Here is a 25,313-nt window from a genome sequence, read left to right as displayed (position 1 = left end):
TTGCCCAGGCTGGAGTGCAGTGGTGGGATCTTGGCTCACTACAAGCTCTGCCTCCCAGATTCAGGCAATTCTCCTGCCTCAGCCTCCCAAGTAGCTGGGATTACAGGCATGTGCCACCATGCCCAGCTAATTTTGTCTTTTTAGTAGAGACGGGGCTTCACCATGTTGGTCAGGCTGGTCTTGAACTCCTGACCTCAAGTGATCTGCCTGCCTTCGCCTCCTAAAGTGTTGAGATTACAGGCGTGAGCCACTGCACCTGGCCAGGGTTTGTATATTTAAAGTTATATTTTACCCACCAAATTTGTCTTTTTTTTTTTTTTTTTTTTTTTTTGAGACAGTCTCGCTCTGTCACCCAGGCTGGAGTACAGTGGCCTGATCTTGGCTCACTGCAACCTCCGCCTCCCAGGTTTAAGAGATTCTCCCTCCTCAGCCTCCCGAGTAGCTGGGGCTACTGGTGCGCGCCATCATATCTGACCAATTTTTTTGCATTTTTAGTAGAGCCAGGGTTTCACCATGTTGGCCAGGCTGGTCTCAAACTCCTGACCTCAGGTAATCCACCCGCCTCAGGTGATCCCCTGGTTGCCTCAGTACATGGGATCAGGAGGCACATGGTGTCCCATTGTTGGAGATATTAACTTTTGAACGCTTGGTTAACACAGTTTCAACCAGCTTTCTCTAGTGTCAAGTGCCATTTTTATCTTTGTCAGTAATAAGCTGGGGGAGATATTTGAAACTATGTAAAATACATGTTTCTCTTTAAACGTTCACCCAGTGGTTTTTTTGTGTTTTTTTGTTTTGTTTTGTTTTGTTTTGAGACAGAGTCTCGCTCTGTTGCCCAGGCTGGAGTGCAGTGGTGCAATCTTGGCTCACTGCAAGCTCCGCCTCCTGGGTTCACACCATTCTCCTGCCTCAGCCTCCCGAGTAGCTGGGACTACAGGTGCCCGCCATCTGCCCGGCTAATTTTTTGTATTTTTTTTAGTAGAGACGGGGTTTCACCGTGTTAGCCAGTATGGTCTCGATCTCCTGACCTCATGATCCCAAAGTGCTGGGATTACAGGTGTGAGCCACTGCGCCCAGCCTCACCCAGTGGTTTTAACATCCAGTGATGATTGTTGCCTGAGTCTATTATTCTATACTGGCTCCAAAGAGATTTTCCTTCTACATTTATCAGTTGACATTCTGCTGTAAGGAAGAACTTTCTCTTCTTCTTCCCACTTACTATCAGGAATTTGTTTTGAGCATTTCACTTACTTACTAGCATGACAAGATGTTCTAGACTCCTCTTGTACTGTCCTTGCCCCAGCCCTGGAATCAGTCTTTCTTTTTAAGGAACCCTGGTTTCCTTTAAGTGGGGAATAGTTTCAGAAATCAAGGTCTGAGCCCAGGTGTGCCCTTAGGTACCGAGTGTACATTCTTGATAGCCATTACCAAAGTGCCTTCTAAAAAACTGCACCAGGCTGGGCGTGGTGGCTCATGCCTGTAATCCTAGCACTTTGGGAGGCTGAGACAGGTGGATCACCTGAGGTCAGAAATTTGAGACCAGCCTGGCCAACATGGTGAAACCCCATCTCTACTAAAAATACAAAAAAATTAGCTGGGCCTGGTGGCGCATGCCTATAATCCCAGTTACTTGGGAGGCTGAGGCAGGAGAATCACTTGAACCTGGGAGGCGGAGGTTACAATGAGCCGAAATCATGCCATTGTACTGCAGCCTCGGTGACGAGCAAGACTGTCTCAAAAAATAGTAATAATAATAATCTCTTCTTAGAGCTTATGATAAGCTGCAGGGGTGTGGCTTACTCCCATTTCCCAGATCAGGAGATCTGAGGTTCAGAACGAGTCAGGTAGTTGCCCAGGGTCATAAAGTGGTTTGGCACCAGAGGCAGAGCTGCAGCCTGGATCTTCATCCGCTGTTTGCTCCTGTTTGCTGAGGCTGACTAGAGGCAGGGACCACCCGGGCACCCCGGAAGGATGGAGGGCCTGCAGCTCTCTCTATAGCCAGCATCTTGTTCTTTTCCCTCATCCCAGAGCCCAACCTGGGGGAGGACGATGAGGACAAAGACTTGGAGCCAGGCCCGTCGGGGACCTCGAAGGCCTCAGCGCAGATCTCCGGCCAGTCAGACACGGACATCACAGCTGAGTTCCTGCAGCCTCTGCTGACGCCTGATAATGTGGCTAATCTGGTGAGGATGGGTGGGGAGCGTTTTCCCCCTGGGCAGGAAGGAAGGATCTCCTCGGTCTTTCACCTGCCTCCACTTCACACCATCCACCTCCTCCAGAGTACCCTCCTAATTAATAAAGAAAAGGGGTTTAATTGGCTTACAGTTCTGCAGGCTGTATAGGAAGCGTGGTGCTGGCATCTGCTTAGCTTCTGGGGAAACCTCAGGAAGCTTCCAATCATAGTGAAAGGTGAAGGGGGAGCAGGCATCTCGTGTGGCAGAGCAGGAGCAGGAGAAAGGGAGTGTTGGGGAGCAGGGAGGTGCCACACACTTTTAAATGACCAGATCTTGTGACAACTCGCTATCCTGAAGACAGCACCAAGCCATGAGGGATCTGCCCCCATGATCCAAACACCCCCGACCAGGCCCCACCTCCCACATCGGGGATTGTAATTCAACATGAGATTCGGGAAGGAACAAATATCCAGACTACATCAGTGAGCCTCAGGCCTGGGTATGCAACCCGCTTCTGATCATCCTCCTTTTGGACGTCCCAGGAGCACCTCAGACTCATGTGGCAGAACTACACTTTTCCACTTTCTCCCCACGCTCCTCTCCAGGCCCCTCCCAGTTCCCAAACCAGAAACCTGGGAGTGAACCTCTTTTCCTTCTCTCCCTAATCCTTGCCCTCTTTTCCACCCCTGTAGCACTTACCCTGGGCCAGGCCCACCCTTTTCACCTGAAGCCCAACCCTCACTTGCTACCTGGCTCCAACTTCCTTCAAGTAAAATTTAAGTTCCACTTGCCTTAGTCAGCCATCTTTGATCTGGCTTCTGTTAACTTGTCTTTTTTTTTTTTTTTTTTTTTTGAGGCAGAGTCTCGCTTTGTTACCCAGACTGGAGTGCAGTGGCGCGATCTCAGCTCACTGTAATCTCCGCCTCCCGGGTTCAAGTGATTCTCTTGCCTCAGCCTCCCGAATAGCTGGGATTACCAGCGCCCACCACTGCACCCAGCTAATTTTTGTGTTTTTAGCAGAGACAGGGTTTCACCATGTTGGTCATGCTGGTCTGAACTCCTGACCTCTGGTGATCCGCCCACCATGGCCTCCCAAAGTGCTGGGATTACAGGCATGAGCCACCATGCCCGGCCATTCTACCTTTTGTCTTATCACACACTAGGAATTGACCTTTTCAGTTTTGCCATGAAGTTGCTCATCAACATTTATAAAAATGCCTGCTATTCATAGTATAAAATACCATATGTTTGTAATGTGCCCCTTTTCTGTTGCTACTACTATGTCCAATCTTGCAAAATATTTGCTTGTTTTCAGTCATCTCAAATAACTAGCTCTTTGTTTTGTTCATATTCTTTTGGCACTTTTTCTGTTTTATTTCTGTTGCCTTTATTTCTTTCCTGCTACTTTCTTTGAATGTTTGTTCCCACGGTTTTAAGTGATTGGCTCATTAATCTTTAGTTATCTTTTCCAATGTAAGCAAGCATTTAAGGATTTGATTTTCCATCTGAGTACTATTTTAGCTGTATTCCACAATTTTAATTTATAGCAGTTTCATTATCTTTCTGTTCTAATTAGTTATTACTTAGTGTGTGCATTTAAAGTTCACTGTGTAGCCTTGGCAACATAGCGAGACCCTGTCTCTACAAAAAGAAAAATAAAAAAATTAGCCGGGCATGGTGGCATGTACCTGTGATCCCAGCCACTGGAGAGGCTGAAGCAGGAGGATTGCTTAAGCCCAGGAATTTGAGGCTGTAGTGAACTCTGATGGCGCCACTGCACTCCAGCCTGGACAATAGAGTAAGACCCTGTCTCTAAGAAAAATAATACATTTTTTTTTTGAGACAGAGTCTTGCTCTGTTGCCCAGGCTGGAGTGTAGTGGCGCAGTCTCAGCTCACTGTAAGCTCCGCCTCCCGGGTTCACGCCATTCTCCTGCCTCAGCCTCCCGAGTAGCTGGGACTACAGGTGCCTGCCACCACGCCCAGCTAAGTTTTTTGTATTTTTAGTAGAGATGAGGTTTCGCTGTGTTAGCCAAGATGGTCTTGATCTCCTGACCTCGTGATCCGCCCACCTCAGCCTCCCAAAGTGCTATGATTACAGGCATGAGCCACCGTGCCCAGTATAAATTTTTTTTAAAGCTTCAAATGTATAGGAAGTTTGAAATTATCCTTTTCCAGCCTGGGCAAGATGGTGAAACCCCATCTCTACTAAACATACAAAAATTAGCCAGGTGCGGTGGCAGGCACCTGTAATCCCCGCTACTTGGGAGGCTGAGGCAGGAGAATTGCTTGAACCCAGGCGGCAGAGGTTGCAGTGAGCTGAGATCGTGCCACTGCACTCCAGCCTGGGGGACAGAGTGAGATTCCGTCCCAAAAAATAAATAAATAAATAAAAAGGAAATTATCTTTTGTTACTAATTCCTGACATCCATGGATGTTCTCTGTTAGGATTCTGGGGGGTTTCTTGTTTGCTTGTTATTTGAAGTCAATTCCCAGTCCTAACACTCTTCACTGAACCTCTTTTTGCTTTCTTTCTTTCTTTCTTTCTTTCTTTATGAATGAGATGGAGTCTTGCTCTGTCACCCAGGCTGGAGTGCAGTAGCGCGATCTCGGCTCACTGCAACTGCTGCCGCCTGGATTCAAGCAATTATCCTGCCTCAGCCTCCCGAGTAGCTGGGATTACAGGCACATGCTGCTGCGCCAGGCTAATTTTTGTATTTTTAGTAGAGACAGGGTTTCACCATGTTGGCCAGGCTGGTCTTGGGCTCCTGACCTCAAGTGATCTACCTGCCTTAGCCTCTCAAAGTGCTGGGATTGCAGGCATGACCCACTGCACCTGGCCTCTTTTGTTCTCTGGACAGGGTGCCAGCTCTGCTGCTTCTTAGCCTTCTCCCATGGTGTTTCTCTACGGGGAATACACACCCCTCCCACCTCAAAACCTTGTCCTGTATTATGCTGACTCCTGCCCTCCCCTCAGTTCTCAGCCTAGGTGCTTCTTGCACAGGGAGCCCTTGCCTTGCCTGGCTCCTGCTGTGGCTCACAGTGCCCTTCATGTTACCCTCTCAAGCACTACACTATATAATTATTTGTTTTCTCTGTGACTTCCAGAAGAGGCTGGGCCCCAGGAGAGCAGGCCCAAGTCGGTCTTAGGCACTGCCATTTCCCCAGTATTGGCATGGGCATGGAAAGAATGCTTCTTGAGTTAATGATTAAGGAGAGGCTCTCTTCCTGGGCATCCCACAGGTCCTCATCAGCATGGTGTACCTACCCGAGGCCATGCCAGCCTCCTTCCAGGCCATCTACACCCCCGTGGAGTCAGCAGGCACGGAAGCCCAGATCAAGCACCTGGCTCGGCTCATGGCCACACAGATGACAGCTGCCGGACTGGGACCAGGTGAGTGTGTCCTGGCCCTAACCTGGGCCAGGGATTGGCACTTGTGGCTTCTGGGTTCTCCTTACTGGAAGAGCAACTTCTCGTGGTGCAGTTGAAAATCATGTGGGAGCTAAGGTGTAGATAATGACAGGTACCACAGATAGATGGCTCAGTGTTTTTAAGTCCTGGGCTTTGGAATCCAACAGACCTGGGTTTGAAGTTTGAGTTGAATCAGATCTCATCCACTTAATATCTGTATGACTTTGGTCAAGTTAGTTAACCTCTCTGAGCTTCATAGTTTTACCCTGTTTTAACAGTACTATTAATGTGTGATACACATAAGTGAAATGCAGAACTCTTAATTATAGACCTTAGTGAATTTTCACAAAGTGAACACACCAGTGTAACCATCACCCAGATCAAGATACAGGTTAAATATCCCTTATCCAAAATGCTTGGGACCAGAAGTGTTTCAGATTTCAGACCTTTGGATTTGGAGTATTTGCATATACATAATGAGGTATCTTAGGGATGGGATCCAAGTCTAAACATGAAATTCATTTATGTTTAGCTCATAATGAGCTAAACATAGCTCAAAGGTAATTATATACGATATTTCTTTTTCTTTTTTTTTTTTTTTGAGACAAAGTCTCGCTCTGTTGCCCAGGCTGGAGTGCAGTGGTGCAATCTCGGCTTACTGCAACCTCTGCCTCCCAAGTTCAAATGATTCTCCTGCCTCAGCCTCCCGAGTAGCTGGGACTACAGGCACATGCCACCACGCCTGGCTAGCTTTTGTTTTGTTTTGTTTTTTGAGACACAGTCTTGCAGTGTCACCCAGGTTGGAGTGCAATAGCATGATCTCGGCTCACTGCAAGCTCCGCTTCTCGGGTTCACGCCATTCTCCTGCCTCAGCCTCCCGAGTAGCTGGGACTACAGGCGCCTGCCACCACGCCCGGCTAATTTTTTGTATTTTTAGTAGAGACGGGGGTTTCACCGTCTTAGCCAGGATGGTCTCCACCTCCTGATCTTGTGATCCACCCGCCTTGGCCTCCCAAAGTGCTGGGATTACAGGTGTGAGCCAGTGCACCCGGCCCTAGTTTTTTGTATTTTTAGTAGAGACGGGGTTTCACCGTGTTAGCAAGGATGGTCTCAATCTCCTGACCTTGTGATCCGCCCACCTTGGCTTCCCAAAGTGCTGGGATTACAGGCGTGAGCCACCGCACTGGACCTGTAATATTTCTTAATAATTTTGTTCATGAAATGATGTTTTGACTGCCATCTATCCACACGAGGTCAGGTGTGGAATTTTACCCTTGTGTTTTGTTGAGACTCAGAAAGTTTCGGATTTATAGACCATTGCCACTGTAGAAATTTCCTCCTTGTTCTTCCAGAGATGCCTCAGGGCATTGAACTCCAGAGAAAACCAGTGTTCTGATTTCTGCCTCCATAGACTAGTTTTACCTATTCTTTATTTTTTTATTTTTTATTTTTTGAGACAGATTCTCACTCTGTTGCCCAGGCTGGAGTGCAGTGCAATGGCACGATCTCAGCTCACTGCAAGCTCCACCTCCTGGGTTCACGCCATTCTCATGCCTCAGCCTCCTGAGTAGCTGGAATTACAGGTGCCCGGCACCATGCCCAGCTAATTTTATTGTATTTTTAGTAGAGACGGGGTTTCACCGTGTTAGCCAGGTTGGTCTTGATCTCCTGACCTTGTGATCTGTCCGTCTTGGCCTCCGAAAGTCCTGGGATTTCGGGTGTGAGCCACCGCGCCCGGCCCTAGTTTTACCTATTCTTGAACAAAACTAAATAGGATCACAAAGTCTGGTTTCTCTGGCTTGCCATATGGTTTTTTGTGTTTTTTTGTTTGTTTATTTTTATTTATTTATTTTTTTGAGATGGAGTTTTGCTCTTGTGGCCCAGGCTGGAGTGCAGCAGAACTTTCTTGGCTTACTGCAACCTCTGTCTCCTGGATTCAAGCGATTCTCCTGCATCAGCCTCCCGAGTAGTTGAGATTACAGGCACCCGCTGCCACCATTCCCAGCTAATTTTTTGTTTTTCACGGTTTTTTTTTTTTTTTGAGATGGAGTCCTACTCTGTCGCCCAGGCTGGAGTGCAATGGCATGATCTCGGCTCACCGCAACTTCTGCCTCCTGGGTTCAAGTGATTCTCCTGCCTTCCAAGTAGCTGGGATTATAGGCATGTGCCACCATGCCTGGCTGATTTTTTTTTTTTTTTTTTTTGTATTTTTAGTAGAGATGGGGTTTCACCATGTTGGCCAGGCTGGTCTCGAACTCCTGACCTCAGGTGATCCACTCTCCTCGGCCTGTTAAAGTGCTGGGATTACAGGTGTGAGCCACCACGCCCAGCCTGCTGTACATTTTTGAGATTCTTCATTGTTGTCGTGTGAGGTACTAGTTGGTTTTTTATTGCTCAGTAGTATTCTGTCATATGAATATACAATCATTTGTTTATCCACACCGGTATTGATGGACCTGTGGCTTCTTTCCAGTTTTTGGCCATTGGGAATAAAGCTGCTGTGAATATTTGTGTCCAACTCTCTTCATGTACACATGCTGTCATCTGTCTTGAGCATATACCAAGGAGTGGAACCGTTGGGTCATAGGGTGTGATCAGTGCTATTAAAAACTGCTACAGGCTGGGTGTGGTGGCTCACACCTGTAGTCCCAGCACTTTGGGAGGCTGAGGCGGGTGGATCACCTGAGGTCAGCAGTTCAAGACCAGCCTGGCCAATGTGGTGAAACCCCGTCTCTACTGAAAACAAAAAAATTAGCTGGGTGTGGCAGTGGGTGTCTATAATCCCAGCTACTCCAGAAGCTGAGGTGGGAAAATGGCTTGGACCCAGGAGGTGGAGGCTGCAGCGAGTCAGGATCAAGCCACTGCACTCCAGCCTTGGTGATGGAGTGAGACTCCGTCTCCAAAAAAAACAGCTGAGGGCTGGGCACAGTGGCTCATACCTGTAATCCCAGCACTTTGGAAGTCCAAGGCGGGAGGATCGCTTGAGCCCAGGAGTTCAAGACTAAGCTGGGCAACATATGGAGACCTCATCTCTACAAAAAAATACAAAAATTAGCTAGGTATGTTGGCATGCGCCTGTAGTCCCAGCTAGTTGGGAGGCTGAGAGGCTGAGGCAGGAGGATTGCTTGAGCCCAGGAGGTCAAGACTGCAGTGAGCCCTGATTGCACCACCGTACTCCAGCCTGGGTGACAGAGTGACACCCAGTCTAAAAAACAAAAACTGCTCATCATGTTTCCAAAGTGGCTGTAGCATTTGCTGCTCCCCCCAGCAATGAATGGCATTTCTAGTTTGAGCCTCAGTTGTATTGAAAAGTGGGGATAAAAAGAGTACCCACTCCAGGACAGTGTTGTGTGGATTTAAACGAGGTTTTGTGTGTACAGGGCTCAGAACAGAGCCAGGCACACAGGAGGTCCTCGGGTTGGAGCAGGTGGGTCTGACGCACTGGGTGTCTGTTTGCTGCCTCCCCCTCAGGTGTAGAGCAGACCAAACAGTGCAAGGAGGAGCCCAAGGAGGAGAAGGTGGTGAAGACAGAGAGCGTCCTGATCAAGCGGCGCCTGTCAGCCCAGGGCCAAGCCATCTCGGTGGTGGGTTCCCTGAGCTCCATGTCCCCCCTGGAGGAAGAGGCACCGCAGGCCAAGAGGAGGCCAGAGCCCATTATCCCTGTCACTCAGCCCCGGTGAGTCCTCTTCTGGGTGCTAGGGCAGGACAGGAGCCCTACCCTGAAGGTCTGGTTCTCAGCTCGTGTGCGTGTGCGTGTGCGTGTGCGTGTGTGTGTGTAACTGAGATGCAGACAGAAGGAAGTCTGGAATAGGTTCTCTCTGACTCCCGAGTCAGTGCCATAACCACTAAGCCTTTGCTGTTCTCTTTCCTGTAAAAAAAAAAAAAAAAAATCCTTTTTTATGTCTAAAATTAGGATAATGATAGTATCTTTCTCATAAGGATCAAAGAAGAATTAAATTAGTTCGTGGTAATGGTGATGGTTAGGTAACTAGATACTCGAGTGAAAAGTGATTGTGATTGTCAAGCATTTCGCGTGGTTCCTGTTGTGTAGTAAATGCTACTGGCTGTCATCATCATTGTCCCCATTATTACCTCCCTTACACACCACAAAATCCAGCCAGTCCCGGCCACCCAAGTCTTTTTATTATTTATTTATTTATTATTTTTTTTTGAGTCGGAGTCTCACTCTGTCTCCCAGGCTGGAGTGCAGTGGCGCGATCTCAGCTCACTGCAAGCTCCGCCTCCCGAGTTCATGCCATTCTCCTGCCTCAGCCTCCCGATTAGCTGGGACTACAGGCGCCCGCCACCACGCCTGGCTAATTTTTTGTATTTTTAGTAGAGACGGGGTTTCACCGTGTTAACCAGGATGGTCTCGATCTCCTGACCTCGTGATCCGCCTGCCTCAGCCTCCCAAAGTGTTGGGATTACAGGCGTGAGCCACCGTGCCCAGCCCCAAGTCTTACTAACACAGCTGAGCGGGATCTGCTACCCTCCGAGCTCTCTTCTGCTACCCTCACCCCTCCTCCACTCGTGCCCACAAGTCTGTTCCCACCTAAGGGCCTTTGCCTGGAGAGCTGGTCCCCCAGACATTTGTGTATCTTGTCCCTGCCTCCGTTCAGATCCCCACTCACAGAAGCCTTCCGTAAGACGCCCTCTGCAAAACCAAAATAACATCCTCTTCCTTCCTCTTACCCACCGCCACACCGTGCCTCAGAGACACAGAGGAACTGGAGAGGCAGCAGGGGGATGGGGGCCATCTCTGTTGCCTACCTAGTCCTTGAAGTTGGGAGAGTCACCAGACAGGCCTTTGCTGCAGTCTGGGTCACTGCATCTCTGTCACTGCTCTTCCACACAGGCTGGCAGGCGCTGGTGGGCGCAAGAAAATTTTCCGTCTCAGCGACGTGCTGAAGCCCCTTACCGATGCCCAGGTGGAAGCCATGAAGCTGGGCGCTGTGAAGCGGATCCTGCGGGCTGAGAAGGCTGTGGCCTGCAGCGGGGCAGCCCAGGTGTGCGCCTGCCACCCCCCACCCCATCCTTCCAGTCCCTCTACCCAAACGTCTACCTCACATCCAGCGAAGAGTCTGGCCCTGGCGTCAAACCTCCCTGGCTGCGGACCCCAGCTCTGCTGCCCACAGCCGCTTCTCCAGATCACTCCCATCCTCCATAAAACAGAGACAGTAGCAGCAGCTCCTCCTGGGTGACGAGGAGGAAATGTGCAATGAGCACAGGCACTCAGGTGCACAGGGCAGGTGCTGGGAGGCCTCTGCAAGTGAGGGCTGCTCTTGTGGTCTTGGTTCTTCACGGTTGTTAACGTTCTTACTGTTACTATTTAGCTTTAGAAATATACCTGGTTCTCTGTCCTGATTCTGCCACTTGCTGGCACTGTTACCTTCAAAGAATGGGGAAAAGTGACTTTTTCCCCATTCTGTGAAGTTAATTGTTGATTAGCCAGTAGTATAGGAACATACTCCCTGAGCTGAAAAATATTTCCGGGGAATCCAGATCCAGTACTCTTCCGTGGCCATCACCTGCACCCCATCCCTCTCTTCAAAGGTGACAAAGGCACAAATGAGGGGAATCTTTGAGGATCTTTTTCTGTGCACTTAAGTACATGGGTGCTGCTCCTAGAAACTCATTTTTATTCTGTGATGATCGATCCCCACCCTGGTACCCCCACCCCCCAACACACAAACGGGACCTTCCTAGGCATAAGGGTCCTCGGCTGGCCTTCCTCGCTTCACTCCTTGTCTGCTCTGAGAGTTCCTGCGTCTGGGTGGGAGAAGTCGCAGGGCACGATTGCGGAGTCCCTGGATTGCCCACCCTACACTGACATGCTGGCTCACCCTCCCACCAGGTCCGCATAAAGATCCTGGCCAGCCTGGTGACACAGTTCAACTCGGGCCTGAAGGCGGAGGTCCTGTCCTTCATCCTGGAGGATGTGCGGGCCCGCCTGGACCTGGCCTTCGCCTGGCTCTACCAGGAGTACAACGCCTACCTGGCCGCAGGTGCCTCGGGCTCCCTGGACAAGTATGAGGACTGCCTCATCCGCCTGTTGTCTGGCCTGCAGGAGAAACCAGACCAGAAGGATGGGTGAGGGGGCTGACCCTGCACCCTCCTGTCCCCGAGAGGCTTCCTCTCCTGGTGCTGCCCTCCCTTTCTGATTGCGACCACCTCCCTCTTCGTCACCCCCCGAGTCAGTCCTCCTCGCACCCATCCCAAGTCTCCTCTCCTCCTCCCCCTCTGGAGGCACGTTCAAGGTTGTAGTTTTGCATGTGGGCTCCAGGTCGCACTCCCTGAGCTGTTCCTCAGCTCTGCCACTTGCTCTGAGCTTGCTCTGCGTGGCTTTGTCACTCCCTCTCTCTGCCATTTTCCCATCTGTAAATAACAGTGCTCACCCATGGGCCTGGAGATAGACTTCTCTACACCCCATTCACTACCTGAGTTGGTTCTGTAGCTTCCTCCCTATCCGTGGCCTCCAGCTTACTCGTCTATCCTCCACACAGCAGCTCCAGGAACATTTTATTATATAAATCCTTTTATTACTTCCCCACAAGGAACCTTCCATGGTTCTCCATTGGTCTTGGGATAAAACACAGCCTCCTTACTGTGACCAGTGAGGCCTTATGTGACCCAATCTCTTTGGCTTTACCCCCCGAACATTAGCCACATTGGCCTTCTGTCTGTTCCTCGAACATGTCAAATTCAGGGCGCTGGTGCTTCCTGTTCTGTCCACCTGGAATGCTCTTCCCTCAACTCTATGTGTGGGTGGCTCCTTCTCATCCACCAGTGTACTCAACTGTAACTTCAAAGCGGCCTTTTGAGGCCACCATATCTAAAATACCCACACCCTTCTCCACCCGCCATCATTCCCTCCCGTTCTTATGTTCAGTGAATAAAGTTAGGAATCCCTGTTTGACAAACGGAAGAAATGAGTTTCAGAGAGGTGCAGTCTCTGCCCAGATCATCCAGCCGCCAGCTTTTGAACCCTGTTCTGTTCACCTCCAAAGCTTTATAAGCAGGGGCTTGAACAAGCAGCCCCTGAGGGAGGGCCTGCTGGCCCTGAGCTCCTACAATTCAGCAGGGCCCGGGAGCCAGGCGGCCTCTTCCTCTGCAGCCATGGCCCTCCCTCCATCTCTGGCAGGATCTTCACCAAGGTTGTGCTGGAGGCGCCACTCATCACAGAGAGTGCCCTGGAGGTGGTCCGCAAGTACTGCGAGGATGAGGTGAGGACAGGCCCTGGTCAGTGCAGCCCGGGGCAGGGGACAGGGCCCTGCCCTGAGGGGTCTGAAGGGCACACAGTCTAAACCTTGTGGCCGGGGGTTTTGTGAGGGACCGGGCCCTTTTGTCCAGGTACCTGATCAGAGGCAGGCAGGAAAGACAGAGCCCAGAGGCACACTCAGGTGGGCTGAGCTCGGGTCCCTTTCCTTTTGCTGCAGAGTCGCACCTATCTGGGCATGTCCACACTTCGAGACCTGATCTTCAAGCGCCCGTCCCGCCAGTTCCAGTACCTGCATGTCCTCCTCGACCTCAGCTCCCATGAGAAGGACAAGGTGATCCCCTCCTCCACTTCCTGGCTGCCCTCAGCCTGCAGCTTGCAGAGGCCGCCTCTATCCTGAGTAACCAGCCCACGTCTTCCACACTCCCTTGCAAGTTTCTCTGGGCCCATTCCCTTCTTTCAGTGGTTTTTTGGCTATTTCTGTCTGTTTTATTTTCATTTTCAGTGGCATCAAGCTGCCTAGAAACCAGGGTTACCGTGCCTGAGTCTGCCTGTAGTGTGTACACACACACACGTGCGCTTGCCCTCCTGGGAAGGGCAGTCCCACTCTCGCTCTTAGTCCACCCGTGGTGGCCAGCACAGGCTCCTCGTGCAGCCCAGTCCTGTGCCGGGGCCTGAGGGCATTGCCCAGCCCAGCAGGGGAGCCGGTGTGGCCTCAGCCAGCAGTGAGGACACAGCGTGCTCAGCAGCTGAGCAGAGCAGTGTGTGGCTGCCCTGGGGAGGGAGGGGCCGACCATCTGGTTGTGGGGTGGGCAGGGGAGGTGTTTCAAGGAAGGCTTCTTTCAAGGAGGGGACTTGTACGCTGAGACCTGGAAAATCAGTAGCTGGGTGTGCTCTAGACAGAGGGGACAGATGTGCACGTGCTGTGGTTGAGAGCGCCCTTGACCCATCGTTGCCTGCAGCCTTTTGCCCCAGCCCTTGCTGGGTAGCGTTTTCATTCATTCAGCAGACCTTCATCTCACACCCCTGGCCCTGGCCCTGGCCATGGCCATGTGCTGCTGCTGGGGTCAGAGTGCCCAGGACCAGACCCTTCCCTCACGGCTCCTGGCAGATGATATCTGAGTGAAACAGGGTTTAGCTGGCAGTAGACGTTCTAGGGAGACTTGGCAGGGAGTGGCACTTTTAAGGAACTGAGGAGCTCTCCCTCTGCTTGGAGCTTAGTGAGCAAGGCAAGAAGCAGTGATGGGCAGATGGGCTGGAGAGGCAGGCAGTGAGGTGGTGCTGCGGGTCCGGCCCTGGCCAGGATATCTGCCTCCTGCACTGGGGACCAGCCCTGGGCCCTGGTAACAGCTGGGCTGCCCCTTCTCAGCCTCGGGCTTGTTTTCACGTGAGTGTTGCCATGCTCGCAGGAATAGCTGTTCTTCCTCTTACCTCTTCCCTGACCCTGCCCTTCTCCATCTTCCTCCTCAGGTGCGCTCCCAGGCCCTGCTGTTCATCAAACGCATGTATGAGAAGGAGCAGCTGCGGGAGTATGTGGAGAAATTTGCCCTCAACTACCTGCAGCTCCTGGTGCACCCCAACCCACCGTCTGTGCTGTTTGGAGCTGACAAGGACACAGGTTGGGCACAGGTCATCAGATGCATACTGAGCGCTGCTGTGTCCGCGCTCTGGGCCCTGCGAGCAGAGGGGATGAGTGGGGAAGCCACTCGGACACGAGTGACGGGAATGGGCAGGACTGGGACAGCCACCTGGGGGCTGTGGGAGTCAGGGTAGGGGGCATCTGGCCCAGCCTGGGGGGTCAGGGAGAGAGATCTGGAGGACGAGGAGAGCCAGCCATCGGTGGGGCCTGAGGAAGGACCAGGCAGGGCCATCTCAGGCAGGTTCCCTCAGCAGAGCCCTGGATTACAGACAGGTAGACTCAGACCCCGAGTAAATGGACCATTAAATGGGAAGGCTTGGGCCATGATAGGGCAGCACGGGAGGCCTGGCCCAGGTGCCAGGAAGCATTCCCAGGAGATGCACAGCCTTCGGGAGGCCCAGAAGCTGAGCAGGTGCCGTGGACCAGGCAAAGAGGAGGGTGGATGCAAAGGCAAAGAGACCAGGGCCCTCGGGACTGTTAGAATGGGTATGTGACCAACATGGAGGGCAGCAGAGCAGCAGCGGGCCGGGGCCACCCCATACAACACCTGGCAGACAGTGTGAGGCAGGGAGCTGGGGGTTTATTCTGAGGCCACAGGGCAGGCATGGCTGGGATTGGAGCCAGAGAGGGACAGGGTCAGGATCGCACTTTAGAAAGATCCTTCTAGTTGCCTTGTGTGTTGGCAGTCACGGGAGGCTGGAGGTGGGAAGTCCTGGTCCCCGCCATTTCCCTGCCCTAGAACAATTAGCTCCCCAGCCCCGGCTCCCTTCTCTGCCCTCCCCGGCTCCACTGCCCAAGAAGGGACATTCCTGAGGGTCCGAGGGGGTTGGAGAAGAGTGTGGGCCAATCTGATGCCCGCTCCTGCCCTGTCAGAGGTGGCAGCACCCTGGACGGAGGAGACAGTGAAGCAGTGTCTGTACCTCTACCTGGCCCTCCTGCCTCAGAACCACAAGCTGATCCACGAACTGGCGGCCGTGTACACTGAAGCCATCGCCGACATCAAGCGGACGGTGCTGAGGGTCATTGAGCAGCCGGTGAGGCCCCTGAGCCCACCAGGCCCTGCCCACCCACGGGCAAGGCTGTGTCCCCAGCTCCAGCTCTTCCCCAACCTGCTCCACCTCAGAGTGTGCCAAGCCCGAAGGGTGGTCACCCCGGGCCGACCCAGGCTGTGTAGCTTGCAGGCGGTCCGCATGTCACTCCTGAGGAAACGTCAAGTGGCCCGGCAGTTAGGAGCCTGGAGCTGATAGACCTGGGTTCGCGTTCACTTCTCGCTTTCTCACTGCGACCTTGGGCCCGTCAGTAAAAATGGGGAAGACGTTCCAGTCCCTCCACGCTGATGCAAGGAGTCCATGAACTCAGGCACATAAACCTCTGTGTTACTGTCACTTTATGAGCTGGCCTTCCCAGTGTTGCTAACGGGACTCTTTAGCTGTCATTACATAAACATAAGTCCTTCCTGCCCCTCTCTCTAGAGGCACAGGTCTGCCCACATGAGAAGCAGCTCAGTGACAGACTAGCACCTGAGATTAGAAGGTCTGCTCTTCCAGTTTGCAGCAGGATTTGAAACCACTTTTTTTCTTTCTGCCCCTGACATTTTTGGATTACAGAACATTTTCGTGATAAACGGGAGAGAGAAGTGTATGTTAATCCCCACCTATCTGCCATTTGGGTTCAGTGGGGCCCTTACCTGGAAAATGGGGATAACAGGCTTGTAGTTGGGAGGAAACAGATTTTTAGCCCCATTCTCAAGGTGGTCCAGCTGTGGAAAAGTGATCTCACTTTGCAGAAAAGTTATCTGGCAGGGCTGTGAGCTTCTCGAGGGCAGAGACAGTCGGTTTTAGTCAGGAGCGTAAACGTTACTGGGCAGAGGTGGAGCCTGGCCCTGGCTCCTGTTTGGCATTCACCGCAGAGCAGGCTCAGGAAGCAGCAGCAGGTGGAGCCTGGTCTGGGCTCGCAGCCAAGCCAGCTGCGCCTGAGAAACCGAGTCACGAAGCAGGTGGGTGGAGCCAGAAACATCTTCACCAGTGAACGAAGCACAGGGTGGGCATTCGAGGTCAGGTCAAGTCTGAGCCACAGAGGAGTGGCCCGCAGGAGGACAGCCCAGCCAGGGCTGGGAGCTGGAGCAGGCCCATGTCTGGAGGAGCTGCAGGGAGATGCCAAGGTTCTTCTGACTCTCCTGCCCTTCCCCACCTTTCCCCCGCCCTCCAAACCCTGTCACCTCAGTCTCACCCTGGGCGCCAGCATGCCCCGCAAGCCACCCTGCCGGGCAACACCTGACCCTCCCCTAAGCTCTCACCCTGGGTCTGGTCATCCCTGTCTCTGCCTCTAGATCCGAGGAATGGGCATGAACTCCCCGGAGCTGCTCCTGCTGGTGGAAAATTGTCCCAAGGGAGCAGAGACACTGGTCACGAGATGTCTGCACAGCCTCACAGACAAAGGTGACCCTGGAGACCCCCACCTTTCATGGCTTTCCTCCCTCTCCTTAGCCTTCCCCGGGCCCTGGGGATCTGAGCTGCTGGGTCCCCAGATGGTCGTACCTCTTGCGGGTCTGTGCCTGTCCTAGGGCCTCAGTTTCTCCATTTGGAACAGTGTGGTGCTAATTGCACGTGAGCAGCCAAGGGTGAAGTTGCCATCCCTTCCTGCACACCTGCCTGCTTCTCTTTCCTGGGTGCCCACCCTTTCCCACGCTCCCCTCCGCCTCCAACTTGGTGCCTCCTGCTGCTTCCATGCAGTCCCACCCTCCCCAGAGCTGGTGAAGCGGGTCCGGGATCTCTACCACAAGCGACTGCCAGACGTCCGCTTCCTCATCCCGGTGCTCAATGGGCTGGAGAAGGTATGGAGCTGGAGGCCTGTTTGTCCCTGCTACCTGGGACATGTGGGACTGGGAGGGGCAGGGCAGCACGTTGCTTCAGCAGCAGTTGAGCCAGAGGCACATAGCAGAGGGCAGAAGGCACCTTGCCTGTGGTCAGAAGTCATGGAAGCCGCCGACACCTGGGTACCCTGGAAATGCGGAGCAGCTCCTGGCCTCATTTGCATGGGCACCCGGGTGCCAATGGCTCTGCTGCTTCCTCCTCTACCTCAAGCAGGTCCCTTCCCCTCTTTGAGACTCGCTTTTCTCCTCTGTCAGACAAGGATCAGGATGCCTCTTGGGGGCACACACATGTGACATGCAGGGGGCTCAGATGGGGTGAGAGCTGGGGAGAAAGCTCCGCCCTGAGGGTGTGGTGAGGGTAGGAGGGGCTCAGTGAGCCAGAGCTTGCCCTCAGCTCCCCAGGGCGAGCAGAAGGGGTGGCTTGTCTAGAAGGGAAATGAGGGTGTATGTGACTCAACTCCCACCCCCACCACCTTCTCCCTGTAGAAAGAGGTGATCCAGGCCCTGCCTAAACTCATCAAACTCAACCCCATCGTGGTGAAGGAAGTCTTCAACCGCCTGCTGGGCACCCAGCATGGTAGGTGATGCAGCCTCATCCCCACCAAGAGGCCCACCCACCCCAGGTGCTGGGGCAGAAGGCAAGGTGCAGGCACCCCCCTCAGGGAGAGAGGGCACATCCTGCTCCCTGGGACACCAGCTGTACTGGACATCTCCATGTGTCCCGGAGCTCCCAGGCCACCCTCTGGGATATTTTTATGATGGTTTCATTCACAGCAGGGGCAAGACCGTGGAGCTAGGGGCGGAGGCTCCAGCAGCATCTTCCCTTTTAGGATCTGGCCACACACCAGCCCCTCTCAGGCCCGGCTCCAGTCTGGCCCCTCCTCAGATCTTGCCCGAATCCCTCAAGCTGTGGGCCAGGGGCATTTCGTTTTGACACAGTCAAAAAGAAACAAAACTTGAGGCGAGGCGGGCGGATCACAAGGTCAGGAGATCGAGACCATCCTGGCTAACACAGTGAAACCCCGTCTCTACTAAAAATACAAAAAATTAGCCAGGCGTGGTGGCGGGCGCCTGTAGTCCCAGCTACTCGGGAGGCTGAGGCAGGAGAATGGCATGAACCCGGGAGGCGGAGCTTGCAGTGAGCGGAGATCGTGCCAGTGCACTCCAGCCTGGATGACAGAGTGAGACTCCATCTCAAAAAAAAAAAAAAAAAAAAAGAAGCAAAACTTTCAACTTAGAAAAACTAGCAAGGGATTGTTCACCCTTACCCCAGTGGTTGGTGCTAGAGAAAAAATGGAGGATGTCTGTTCCACGCAGACCCTGGTGGTTTAAAACACACATATAGATGGCTCTGGGACCATCAAAATAGCAGCAGCAAAGAGCCACTCCACCAGCCTCCCCTCCACTCCCCCAGGCCCCACACAGCAGAAGGCTCCAGCCACTTTTTGGAAGCCTGTAGCCTGGCTCCATCTTGCCCTGTGCCACAAATGCCCATGACCCCCTGTGCCGCGGTGGAGTCTGTGTTGGGGACCACACGAGGAGGTGGTCCTACCCTGCCCTCGGGGGTGCACAGCCCAGGGGCAGAGAGACCCAGCCGTGCCACACGCTACCCAGGGTGGGAGCCCAGGATGGGGAGGAGCACACAGTGGCAACCTCACGCTGCCTGAGGGCTGCTGCTGCCTTCGGTGTCCCCTTTTTATGTTGTCAGTCGCTTCCCCTGTTCCAGCCCTGAAAGCAGAGGGCACCTCATCTTTGCTCGCAGCTCCCCCGATCTGGGGAACTCAGACCCATCTCTTCACTTATGCGTCCGCACTGTCTTCCCCCACCCTTCCTCCCGCCTGCTGCAGGTGAGGGAAACTCAGCCTTGTCCCCGCTGAACCCTGGAGAGCTCCTGATCGCATTACACAACATTGACTCCGTGAAGTGCGACATGAAATCCATCATCAAAGGTGAGGCGCTTCCCCCCCACTCCAGTGGCCTGGCCCCTGCGACGCCAGGGCAGGACCTCAGTCACCCACATGCCCCCACTGGAATCTGCCAAGTCAAAGACTGTCACTCACAGCCCCACCTCAGAGCTCTGGAGAGCCACCTCCCTCCCTCCCTCCTTTTCTTGCCTCCTCTTCCCTCCCTCCCTCCCTCCCTCCTCCTTCCTTCCTCCCAGGTTTTACCCTTTACAACCCACCTTTTTCTGCCTCTGATGTACCTGCTGTGCCCTGGCACAGAGTGGGCCTAAAGCAGTTGGGTAGCCCCACCCCTAGCCCCGAGGAACAGAAGGAAGCAGGGCACACCGTGAGTGGTAGAGGCGCAGCAGCAGGGCAGACCCAGGGCTCCAGGGCACTTGTGGGCCAGGGTAGGTGAGGCAGGAGAGCTTGCCTGCAGGGCGGCAGGGTTGGTGACGAACTGGCCGCCTCACGATGGCCCCCACTCACTGAGCACTCTGCGCTGGGCTCTCCCTGAACGCCTACAGGCCTGAGCCTGCTGGTCCGCCACTTGGTGGGTATGTTCACTTCCATTGTGTAGACAGGAAATGGAGGCTCCAGAGAGGTTAGGTGACTTACTCAGGGCCAAGCAGAAGCTAAGTGGTGTGGTAGAAGAAACAGAATCTGAAGTGAAACGGACCTGGGTGGGAATCCCAGCTCTGCCGGTTCCGCGTCTAAGGACCACCTCCCCTGAGAGCGCCCACCCCTCCATCCCTCCTGAGCAAGGTTTCTGGGCCAGGAGCCATCCTGTCCCACGGAGCTGGACACCCTCACTGTCGCCCTCTATACTCAGAAGACTGCTGTCCTTTGATTTCTCTTCTCACCCTCAGACGGGAAGGGGCTTCCTCTCTGTGCTGCTTACTTTCGTGTTCTAGCTTGAAACAGCTTTTCAGTGACTTACTTCCTAACCTTCCTCTGCAAGTTCTCTGAGAAACGTTTAAGGTCAAGAGAGCAGCTTATGGAAATGTCAAACCCACATTATAAAACCCAGGAGGCACCAAGGCCTCTCGTGGGAGACCAGCAGGGAGGAAAGATCTCCAGGCTCATAGGCCAGGGCTGTGGTCTTCACATTCCCCGACCCCTTTGGTGATCTGAGGAAAGTTCTAGCCCATTCCCAGGACAGTATGCTCATATTATTTGCATACAGTTTGAGGGGGTTCACACATACACACACACACCCCAAGGCCATTTGTGGACCCAGATTAGAAGCCCTGAGGATCCTAGGTCCAGAAGAAAGGGCCTTGTCGGAGGCCACACAGGCCACCAGGAGCCAGGCCCCTGAAGATCCTTGGCCCAGGAGAAAGGGCCTTGCCAGAGGCCACACAGGCCACCAGGAGTGAGGCCCCCAGAGGGGTCAGCAGGGCCTACCCTACACCACCCCACCCTTCAACACGCCCAGGCGTGCACGCTGCAGGCCAGACAACCCTCCAGCTGGTGTCCCCAGCACCCAACCCAAGTTTTTCTCCTGCTCAGGCACCAGCAGTCTTCCTGGTTGCACTCTAAGCTCCAGATCACAAAGTCGAGTCCTTTTGTTGTGCACTGTTCACTCCCCCGTAGACCACCCTGTTCCTCTGGGGAGCTTGTCTATAACTAGACCCACTCCTGGTAGTCCAGCATTAAGAAAAGTCAGCACCTCTGCTCACCCATATCCATCCTGGGTAGTGCTGGGGACACAGGAAAGACAGCCCTAGCCCTGTCCTTCCAGGGCTTACAGTCCAGGGAGAGACAAGAAGTCCCTGGCCAGTAACAACTGAGAGGGGTGGCCTGGGACTGGGCAGCCCAGAGGGGCCATGTAACCCAGCCTGGGTGTGGGACATCAGGGAAGACTTCCCGAAAAAGGGGACACTCAGGCTGAGACCAAGGAAGGATGAGTAGGCGGCAGCAGCAGGAGACTGCAGGGACCGAGGGAGGTGCTTGCTGGCTGGTTCTGGACCTAGGGGACGAAGGAGGGGGCCTGGTCAAGGGAGGAGGTCAGGCTGTCGCCATTGGGAAAGGTGCCCCTGGGGCCTGCCCACACAGGAGTCTCGCAGGCCGAGGTGGGAATTTGACCTTGTTTCTTGAGGGTCTCTGGGAGGCAAGTCAGGTCTGAGCTTTCCAAAACACCCTTCAGGCTGCTATATGGAGAATGGATCGGAGGCTCGGGGGAGGCCCAGGTGGGGGGCTGGGGCAAAGCCGACAGGGAAGGAAGAGGGGAGGGGTGATTCTGGAGCCTTGGGGTGGCTGAGCAGGCAGGACCAGTGACCACCTGGCCCTGACGAGGAGCAGGGGCTTCCTCGGTTTCTGGCAGGTCCTCACCTCCACTGTCTGCTCTGCCCATTCAGCCTCCTCCCCACCTGTCTACGCCCCCCCCCTTAGAGACCCCACCCCTGTTCTCCATTAGCCTCTCAAGGATTTGGGGGGTTGGGGTGCTCTTCTGGCTCAATAAAGACTTCCTGGTTGACACTCACATGGCAAGTGGTGTTTGGGGAAGGGCTTCAAAGGCAGCTCCTGGGGCCTCCCATTAGCACTGTGGATTGGGGCATGGCCACCCACTCGGGGAACAGACCCCAGGGCCTGCCTTCATGGGTGCTTGTGCTGTGCCAACCCTCTGGGTCCTACTGGTACTGGCACTGGGTGTTGAGTCGGGGGGTCATCGTATGCCCCGGCCCCAGCCTTCTCTTGTCCCTCCCTTCGCTATTACTCTGATTGTGCCCATATGCCCAACACAGCCCTTAGCCTGGCACCCCCCATCTTCCCAGCACCAGCGCAAGCCCTGTATCCTTGTCAGGACTGGGTGGGCAGTCCCTTGGCCCTCTGACAAGCTGGTCTGTGGACTGCTGTTCTCTCTGGAGGGGCTGGTAGAAACCAATAGCTGCCTTCCCTCCCTAGCAGGGGTGGGGGGCCCTGCCACTCCCCCAGGGCTTGGCAACACATCTTTCCCAAGGTCGTCCTTAAAGTGAGGGGCCACGGGTTCCCTGTTCCACCCATTTTGGGGCTTCCTGGAGTTGGATGTCTTCTCCCTTGAACCAAGCCTGCAGGTTTTCCAAGGGCGGGGCTTGCAGTGTGCCTTCTGCTGGGTCGGGGGAGTCTCCTCTCTCCCGCAGGGGCTTTAGAAGTCAGGGCTTTAGAAGTCTTCCCCTCACATGGGCAGACAGCAGAGGCCGGGACTCCCACCTCCCAGGGGGCAGCTGGGCAGAGAGGACAGGCCCACTCTCCGCCTCCTCGCAGCCACCAACCTGTGCTTTGCGGAGCGGAACGTGTACACGTCAGAGGTGCTGGCCGTGGTGATGCAGCAGCTGATGGAGCAGAGCCCCCTGCCCATGCTGCTCATGAGGACCGTCATCCAGTCCCTGACCATGTACCCCCGCCTGGGGGGCTTCGTCATGAACATCCTGTCCCGCCTCATCATGAAGCAGGTAACCCATCCCCGGCCACCCCGCCTCCAGGCTGCAGACAGCAGCTTCTAGCCTGCTTGCCCTCCCCTTCCCCCGTCTGACCCCGGAGGGAGCCCGGTGGAGGACAGCAGGCTCTGCTCTGCCTCCTGCCAAGAAAATAGCAGTGCTCCAGGGTGTATGACTGGGCCAGCTCCCAGGTGATGAGGGAGGGCAGCTGGGTGGTAGGAGCTGTGGTAACCCTCAAGGGGTGTGCACCCGGGAGAGGCATGGCTGCTCCTCACCCTCCACCGCTGTGTGCCCGGCCAGGATGCATCCCAGAGCTGAAAAATGGCCCAGTTTTTTAAGAGGTGCTAGAAATTTGGGCTTTAGAAATACCACGATAAGGCCAGGTGTGATGGTTCACACCTGTAATGCCAACTCTTTGGGAGGCCGAGACAGGAGGACTGCTTGAGCCCAGGAGTTTGGGGCTGCAGTGAGGAAGAAACGCGCCACTCACTGCACTCTAGCCTGGGCGGCAGAGTAAGACCATCTCTCAAAAAAAAAAAAAAAAAAAAAAAAAAAAGAGAACAAAAAAACCAAACCCCGCAGGACTAATGTCGCCCCCTGGAGGCTGCGGTGAGAATGTACATGTGACCCAGGACAGGTCCCGGCACCGGCACGGACCTCCGCTGTTTAGCAGGGGTAATTTCGCCCCCTGGAGGCTGCCGTGAGAATGTCATGAGAGGTGCTCCCGCAGCACTTAGCCTGGGCCTGGCCCAGGGGGAGCTCTGGTAAAAGGCGGCTGAGTTTTCTTCCACCCCCTTCCCAAGTTGCCCTCGTGGTCCAGCCGCCTGGATCGGGAAGACAAAGGCCTCTGGAGGGAGGTCGGGGCTGCTTGTTGCCCATCCAGAGGAATCTTGGATGGTGGGATTTGGGCATGGTCTTGGCAAGGTCTTTCTCCCAGTGTCAAGGCTCGGGGGGATGCCTGTGTGCCTCTCCCGACGGCTCCCTCCCTCCCTGGTTCAGGTGTGGAAGTACCCCAAGGTGTGGGAGGGCTTCATCAAGTGCTGCCAGCGCACAAAGCCCCAGAGCTTCCAGGTCATCCTGCAGCTGCCGCCCCAGCAGCTGGGAGCCGTCTTTGACAAGTGCCCAGAGCTCCGGGAGCCCCTGCTGGCCCATGTCCGCTCCTTCACCCCCCACCAGGTACCCCTTCCCCCCACCAGGTACCCTTTCCCCCCACCCAGGGTGTGCGGTGGGCGGCCCCCTGGGTCCCTCTGGTTGGTGGGGACTGGATGGAGGCGGACACAAGAAGGCCCTGCACTGCTGGGAGTTCTGGAGGGTTAGGGCCCCCGGACCTGAGGTGTGCAAATGGGGTCTCTGTGCCAGAGCTGCCCCCAGCGCCCCCTTCCTGCTCTCCACCCAGCAAGCTCACATCCCTAACTCCATCATGACCATCTTGGAGGCCAGCGGCAAGCAGGAGCCAGAGGCCAAGGAGGCGCCTGCGGGGCCCTTGGAGGAGGTGAGGGCCCTGCAGCCCACCCATCTGGATCCCCAGACTCCCACCCCCTACCCCAAGCCAGCAAGGCTCACCATGGCCTCCTCCTGACCCCGAGAGACTCAGGCCACCCCTGCCTCTGGGCCACCCGTCTCCCAGGGGATGCTCCTGCTGGGAGTTGGGGGTCTGGGGGACAACTGCCCCTTCCTCCCCATGCTCTTGGTGAAGAACTCAAAGACCACCTCAGGGTGGTTCCTTCTCTTTCCGGCCGTCCTCTGAGCCACCCACCTCTGAGCTTCTGTGTGGCCCTCCCTATCCCCAGGATGATCTGGAGCCCCTGACCTTGGCCCCGGCCCCAGCACCCCGGCCCCCTCAGGACCTCATCGGCCTGCGACTGGCCCAGGAGAAGGCCTTAAAGCGGCAGCTGGAGGAGGAACAGAAGCTGAAGCCGGGAGGAGTGGGAGCCCCCTCCTCTTCCTCCCCCTCTCCCTCTCCGTCGGCCCGGCCAGGCCCGCCCCCGTCTGAGGAAGCCATGGATTTCCGGGAGGAGGGGCCTGAGTGCGAGACCCCGGGCATCTTCATCAGCATGGATGACGACTCGGGGCTGACCGAGGCCGCGCTGTTGGACTCTAGTCTCGAGGGCCCCCTACCCAAGGTAGGGAGAGCAGCCTCCGCTGCGAAGGAAGAAGCCGGATCTGGGCCGGGGTGAAGGTGGGGGAGGAGGGGCCATCAGGGGGCAGGGCCTGAAGGGGAGCGTGGAGGTGACCGCGCCCTCCACCCGGCTGCCCTTTCCTTCCCCGGTCACCAGGAGACGGCAGCGGGCGGGCTGACCTTGAAGGAGGAGCGGAGCCCCCAGACCCTCGCACCTGTTGGAGAAGATGCTATGAAGACTCCCAGCCCGGCTGCCGAGGACGCCAGGGAACCCGAGGCCAAGGGGAACAGCTGACGGGGCTCGAGGGGGAAAGGGGGTGGGACAGGGACTCGGGGCTGGGGGACGGGGCGGGGCTTGACCTGCGGGTGCTTTGCCTTAAAAAGAAATAAAAGATGTGAACTTGGGCAAGTTACTGAAAAGAAAAAAAAAAAGGGATGGCGGGCCTGGGGCGCGGGTGCCGTCTCGAGTCTGGCGCGACGTCCACCGTGGGGCTGCGCGGGATCGGGAGTGCGCGCCCAGAGCC

General features: G+C 54.9%; 1 protein-coding gene across 3 annotated transcripts in view, besides 3 other annotated features; it reads left to right on the top strand.

Annotated features, from left to right (window-relative positions):
• SYMPK (symplekin scaffold protein) overlaps positions 1-25,234 on the top strand; it is a 47,738-nt gene extending 22,504 nt beyond the window's left edge. For 2 of the 3 annotated variants that reach the window (NM_004819.3, XM_011527354.2), the window contains 18 exons: positions 2,029-2,183; positions 5,416-5,566; positions 9,056-9,260; positions 10,440-10,590; positions 11,439-11,674; positions 12,726-12,807; positions 13,021-13,134; positions 14,271-14,418; positions 15,313-15,473; positions 16,769-16,877; positions 17,172-17,272; positions 17,798-17,888; positions 19,159-19,260; positions 22,498-22,685; positions 23,670-23,846; positions 24,067-24,162; positions 24,461-24,793; positions 24,947-25,234. In NM_004819.3, the coding sequence (NP_004810.2) occupies positions 2,029-2,183; positions 5,416-5,566; positions 9,056-9,260; positions 10,440-10,590; positions 11,439-11,674; positions 12,726-12,807; positions 13,021-13,134; positions 14,271-14,418; positions 15,313-15,473; positions 16,769-16,877; positions 17,172-17,272; positions 17,798-17,888; positions 19,159-19,260; positions 22,498-22,685; positions 23,670-23,846; positions 24,067-24,162; positions 24,461-24,793; positions 24,947-25,084 (2,738 nt within the window). In that variant the 3' untranslated portion in view covers positions 25,085-25,234. Of the gene's footprint in view, positions 1-2,028; positions 2,184-5,415; positions 5,567-9,055; positions 9,261-10,439; positions 10,591-11,438; positions 11,675-12,725; positions 12,808-13,020; positions 13,135-14,270; positions 14,419-15,312; positions 15,474-16,768; positions 16,878-17,171; positions 17,273-17,797; positions 17,889-19,158; positions 19,261-22,497; positions 22,686-23,669; positions 23,847-24,029; positions 24,163-24,460; positions 24,794-24,946 lie in introns of those variants that run through there. The other variant, XM_047439485.1, reaches the window with a different exon arrangement.
• Positions 13,174-13,941: an enhancer, noted in NCBI's record as "H3K4me1 hESC enhancer chr19:46329961-46330728 (GRCh37/hg19 assembly coordinates)". NCBI's record gives its function as "activates a minimal SCP1, AML or CMV promoter by ChIP-STARR-seq in naive H9 embryonic stem cells {active_cell/tissue: H9 hESC(naive)}" and the evidence as "EXISTENCE:reporter gene assay evidence [ECO:0000049][PMID:30033119]".
• Positions 23,343-23,432: a silencer, noted in NCBI's record as "silent region_10800". NCBI's record gives its function as "represses an Ori minimal core promoter by ATAC-STARR-seq in GM12878 lymphoblastoid cells {active_cell/tissue: GM12878}" and the evidence as "EXISTENCE:reporter gene assay evidence [ECO:0000049][PMID:35858748]".
• Positions 23,593-23,662: an enhancer, noted in NCBI's record as "active region_14823". NCBI's record gives its function as "activates an Ori minimal core promoter by ATAC-STARR-seq in GM12878 lymphoblastoid cells {active_cell/tissue: GM12878}" and the evidence as "EXISTENCE:reporter gene assay evidence [ECO:0000049][PMID:35858748]".
• Positions 25,235-25,313: the final 79 nt, after the last annotated feature.

This window comes from Homo sapiens, chromosome 19, assembly GCF_000001405.40.
Source record: "Homo sapiens chromosome 19, GRCh38.p14 Primary Assembly".
In the NCBI taxonomy this organism is placed as follows: Eukaryota; Metazoa; Chordata; class Mammalia; order Primates; family Hominidae; genus Homo; species Homo sapiens.
The sequence above is the reverse complement of the archived record's forward strand: the minus strand, read 5'-3'. Positions and strand labels throughout refer to the sequence as shown.